This window comes from Homo sapiens, chromosome 6 (assembly GCF_000001405.40).
Source record: "Homo sapiens chromosome 6, GRCh38.p14 Primary Assembly".
Taxonomy (NCBI): Eukaryota; Metazoa; Chordata; class Mammalia; order Primates; family Hominidae; genus Homo; species Homo sapiens.
The window spans coordinates 19,891,042-19,896,941 of record NC_000006.12 but is presented as its reverse complement, the minus strand read 5'-3'; positions in this window follow the sequence as shown (position 1 = coordinate 19,896,941).

The window sequence follows — 5,900 nt, the reverse complement described above, 5'->3', positions numbered from 1 at the left end:
CCAGATGTCCTCACATGGATTCATATCAAAGAGAAATTCTGAAAGACAGCTCAAAGCTAAGCAGATCTTAATTTGTCCATATTATCTTTGAGATGTGACTATCTTCCTCAGCTTCCTGGCAGCTTGCCCAGCTCTCTGAGGGAAACTCAGTTGGCCAGAGTTCACCTGGGTTTATCAGGCCTCCAGGGGAATCTGTTTTCTCTGTGTGCATCCTTTGTTATTCTGCGGGAACTGGGTCATCTTTTCAAGAGTGGAAATGTCAGAGGAATAAAGAGGCTCCCTTGAAAAGATCTTTGCCACCACAGAAAGGAAACATCTCAGCATATCCCTTAAATAACAACATACAGTGTGACAGCCTTGCTTCCGACCCAAAGAAAGAAAAGAGGCCGAGAACACTGGGCAACATTTACACACACCCCTTTGCTGGGTGGACAGCTGGACTGGGGCTGTGTCATCCCAAGCACTGAATTAAAGGAGCGGAAACATCAACTCTGTGGAATCTTTTTGGATGGCAAAGTAGGCTAGAAAGCAGACAAAGGAAGGCTTTCAGCAAAAGCCTGATTTTTTATATTGCAGCACGCTTCGAACGTAAGGCTGCTGCCTGGAGAAGCAGGAATCTGTGACTATCTGGGAAAAGCCCCATCCAGACTGCAGTCTCCCACTCACCCCAGCAACAGACAGAAAGTTATTGTAGAGGGCAGCGAGCTGTGGCTGCACCAGTCCTTTCAGTTGTTCTAGAGAGATGCCACGGTGTGTGAAATAGATCTCACCATGTTAATTGACTGCTAGAAAGACAACTTATGCAAAAGTCTGGCTGGGAGAATCCTAAGATAAGGCACATTATTGACCACGTGTCCTAGGATTTGGGTTGCATCATGAGCTACCAAAAGACTCAACCCTGAGTCACAAACTTCTATATGGCAAATCCCTTCCCAATTACAAAATCATTCACCATGCCCCCAAGCTTAGCACTACCCTCAGGCAAATATACCATCTCCCAATCAATGCCCCCTAACAAGCAGAACTGATCATGATTAAGACAGGGCACATTGATGGTGTGTGCTTTTTAGGGTCTCGGCTAGTGTTCTTTTTTCCTCTTATGAACCCAGATAAGCTATGACATGCAGTACTGGCCTGCTTGATCCATGAAAAGACTTGTGTGTCGGGATTCTTCCAAAACCTTGGACTAATCCTGGCTCTGCCACTCAGGAGCCCCTGCATGGCCTTGAGGAAATCACTTTGTTGGCCTCAGCTATCCCTATTTGTAAAGCCCCTGACACCAGGGGCTCCACTCAAAAACATCCATGTTCACCCTTCTATTCACTGTTAATTACATTGGAGATAAAACAGACATCAAGATTGCATAGACAGAGCAAATAAGGGGAAACTAAGGTATCTTAACTTCAGTTTAGTTCTCCTGAGAATAAGGGAAATGCAAGATGTCACACAAAATTCTGCCCAGGCTTGGGAAGAGCTGAGATGTCTGTTATAGACCTTTGCTCCCTGCGTGCTTGTGTCAGCCCACCAGAACCCCTCCTTTCAAAATACCCTCCTCATTGTCCATTCTTATCCTAAGTTTTATTAATCATGAATAATGTGCTACTACCTCAATAACTGACCATCTGTGCATCACCGTATTTCTCAAACCCCAATTCATTGTAAGAATTAGCTAAAGAACTTTTTTTTTTTTTTTTTTTTTTTGAGATGTAGTCTCGCTCTGTCATCCAGGCTAGAGTACAGTGGTGCGATCTCGGCTCACTGCAAGCTCCGCCTCCCGGGTTAACGCCATTTTCCCACCTCAGCCTCCCAAGTAGCTGGGACTACAGGCACCTGCCACCACGCCCGGCTAATTTTTGTATTTTTAGTAGAGACAGGGTTTCACCGTGTTAGCCAGGATGGTCTCGATCTCCTGACCTTGTGATCTGCCTGCCTCGGCCTCCCAAAGTGCTGGGATTACAGGCATGAGCCATCGCGCCCAGCCGAGCTAAAGAACTTTTTAATGGTAAAGATTCTGGGCTGCAGCTTCAGGATGGGGTAGGGTCTGCACACGTCCGATGGTTCAGATGTTTGGGAATTATTGCTGGGCAGCAGGAATGTGTTAGAGTCATATCAGATCCTAAAACAACTTGAGGGGTGGGAGGTGGAACACGGCAGCAGTGGTGGTGCTGGTGTGATTCTATGAAAAGTAATTCCATATGATTCTGATATGCTCCATCTCCTGCAATCCCTGCTCCCTCCCCCCACTCCCCACCATTTGAGAATTATTGGCACTTGGGTTGGATGAAAAATGCCTTGGACTAATCCTAGCTCTGCCACTCAGGAGCCACACCCCCCTACTCCATGGCCTTAGGAAATCACTTTGTTGGCCTCAGTGTCCCTATTTGCAAAGTAAAAGCATTGGTCCATTCAGTGGTTGTCCAATGTCATTGTGTATCAGAATTATCAGGAGAGTCTTAATAACACATCAATGCCTGGGCCCCACTCACAGAGGTTCTGACCTAATTTGCCTGGCATGAACTCTGATTTGGAGTATCTGTCCAGCTCCCCAGGGGATACTGCTGTGGGGACAGCTCTGAAGTTGTATGATTAGAGTCCTCACTTTTCTGGAGCACTCCACAAATGATTGGCAGCCTTCCTTCTGATGTGTCTACAAGACTATTTTGAAGTCCTTGTGACAGAGTTGACTAGCTAGCACTTGACTCACCATCTTGGAAGTTAACATTAATAGACAATAGAAGAGTTGCTTTATTTGATAAGCAATGAAGCAACAAAGTGTTTGTGATCGGTAATTTCATGTGTCAACTTGGCTGGACCAAGGGATGCCCAGATAGCTGGTTAAACATAATTTCTGGGTGTATCTGTGAGGATGTTTCCAGAAGAGATAAGCATTTGCATTAGTAGGCTGAGTAACAAGATCCACCCTCAGCAATGTGGGTAGGCCTTATCCAATCCCTTGAGGCCCTGGAAAGAACAAAAAGATAAAGGGTGGATTCACTCTCTCTGCTTGAGCTGAGACACATGTCTTCTCCCGCCTTCAGACATCAGCATTTCTGGTTCTTAGGCTTTCAGACTCAGACCAGGACTTACACCATTGGCCCCTGATTCTCAGGCCTTAGACCGAATTATACCATTGGCTTTTCCGGTTCTTCAGTGTGCAGACAGCAGATTTTTATGGGACTTCTAGGCCTCCATAATCACATGAGCCAATTCCTATGTCTCTTCTTATATAAATAATTATATATGTCCTATCCGTTCTGTTTCTCTGGAAACCCCTGACTAATACAGTGCTGCATAGGTTTTTCTGATCCACTTTAATACATTAAAGATTCATGAGCAGTGCAGTTTTTCCTGAAGCGTTTCTCATAGGATAATTAAGCCATATTCTGATTCTAAGCCCACTTTTTCTCAGGTGGCAAGTGTCACCACTAGGTCTGTTATGGTTTACGTATGTGTGTGTGTGTGTGTGTGTGTGTGTGCACACAGCGACTTTCTTGCTATAGAATAAACTGTCTCCCGAGAGGTGGGGCTCCATCAGGGCCTAAATGTTTTACACCAGGGATGACTTCCCAGTAGTTTTCTCAGGTTAGGATACTAGGGAAGAATTACCAAGTACAGCACTTACTGTTGGTTGAGTATGGCTTTAAGCACTTTATTTTTTATTTTATTTTTTTGAGACAAGGTCTTGCTCTGTCACCTAGGCTGGAGTGCAGTGGTGCAATCACGGCTCACTGAAGCCTTGAACTCCCGAGGCTCAATCGATCCTCCCACCTTATCCTCCCAAGCAGCCGGAACTACAGGTGTGTGCCACCAGGCCTGCCTAATTTTCGATTTTTTTTTTTTTTTTTTTTTTGGGTAGAGATAGGATTTCACCGTGTTGCCCAGGCTGGTCTCAAACTCCTGGACTTAAGTGATCCTCCCACCTCAGCGTCCCACAGTGTTGGCATTACAGATGTGAGCCACCATACCTGGCCAAGCACTTTAATTAATAACTTCAGTTATCCTCACAACAATCCTGTATGCTATATATTACTAATATTCCCATTTTATAGATGGGTACAATGAAAAACAGCACATTGCAGTAACCTCCAAAGTTACCTCGTAAATAACAGAGACATTTGAACTCAGGCATGTTGGCTCCCGAACCTGTGTCCTTTATTACTAAAAAACATTGCCTCCCCCGTAATCAGTAGCTTAATGTTTGTAATAAAAACTGAAAACAAATCCAGGCTTTATCACTGCTTTCCAATATCTTGGTTACTCTCAGCTATTCTCAGGAGATGAAAATCACAAGGCTTCTTAACAACCAGTTTTGCCCTTGATTTTCTGAAGAGTGGAATGAGATGCACCAGCTGTGAGTGAGAACCTTTTGTGCCTGTGTACTTGCAAATTTATCATCACTTCCCTGTTTCTGTGTGAAACCTGAACCAGACTGTGGAGCAGCTGATCTGCTCTCTTTGGCCCACTTCACAATTCATACCTGTTTCGAGGCGGCTGGATCCGCCTGCGGGCTACATCCATCACAAGGCGGCTGCTGTGGTGACTCAGCCGGGCTGAAATCCGGTTCTTCCGGCCGCATGTCCCTGGACATCTGCCTGCTGGAAAGCCAAGACAAGCAGGTTCACACACCTATGTTCACTGATGTGAGCTGTGCTGTTACCTTATTTTTATTATTAATTATTATTTTGAGGCAGAGTCTCTCTCTGTCACCGAGGCTGGAGTGCAGCGGTGTGATCTCGGCTCACTGCAACCTCCGCCTCCCGGGTTCAAGCAATTCTCCTGCTTCAGCCTCCCAGGTAGCTGAGATTACAGGCGCTCGCCACCATGCCTGGCATTTTCTTTTCTTTTTTCTTTTTTCTTTTTCTTTTTTGTATTTATAGTAGAGACGAGGTTTCACCATGTTGGCCAGGCTGGTTTTTATTATTTTTTTAATTCAGAAAACTTCGGCGTTCTAAGGCGCAAAGTGACATTATTTGCGCGTTTCCTATTTTATGAGTTTTTGCTCCATTCTTTGCACTGTGGACCCAAATGCAGCCAGCAGCAGCACTGAGGATATGATAATATATTACTTTCTTTTTCTTTTTTCTTTTTGTTAACGGCACCATTTCCTATATGTCCCATTAACTTAAAAGCTCCATATGACAGCATATTATCATTTTATAAAGTGCATATTTTTCTTGTTTCTTTATTATATAAGTCATAAAATGTATAGCTGGTTTCTTACTGAAAATAATTTTACGATGTGTTCAACTGAGCTAGGGAAAGCTGGTTAATGGATGATGGGGAACATGGGGTCATTCTGTGAAAGGGAGCAGCTCAAAGAACTTTGCACCATAAAAGTTAATGAGAAAAAGTCAAGAGTTAGGCGTGTGCTTACGTGTAAATCTTGATGAACTGTGCATTAATTTCTCTCTTGGGTTTAGGCATCATTTGGTCCAGAGAGCAGCTATAGAATAAATTCACGTACTATTATTCAGAAATTTGTCACTTTTCCTTTCAGATGTGAGAGGTTTGGATCTGATTCTTAGTCAATATCTTCAAAAGTAGGTCGAGAACTTATTAGTTTGGGTAATAGTTTACTGCACACTCTGAACAGAATCCACTGGGGAAGAAAAAGTTTGTAAACATATAATTAATGTGGATGGTCCCTCATAGTATTACATGTTTATTACATGTGCAATATATATTACATTACCTATAACACGTGTAGTTATGGCATAGACACAATAAGGTAAAAGATAATATTTTCCCAATTAGACTTTATCTTAGGGCCCCTGCACTGGAAATTTCCCCGCATTGGAATGCTCTTCCCTCCAAGTAGGAAGCATGGATTCCTCCTTCAGTCATTTCAATCATAACTCAAATGTCATCTCCTCAAAGAGGCCCTTCCTACCACCCATTTA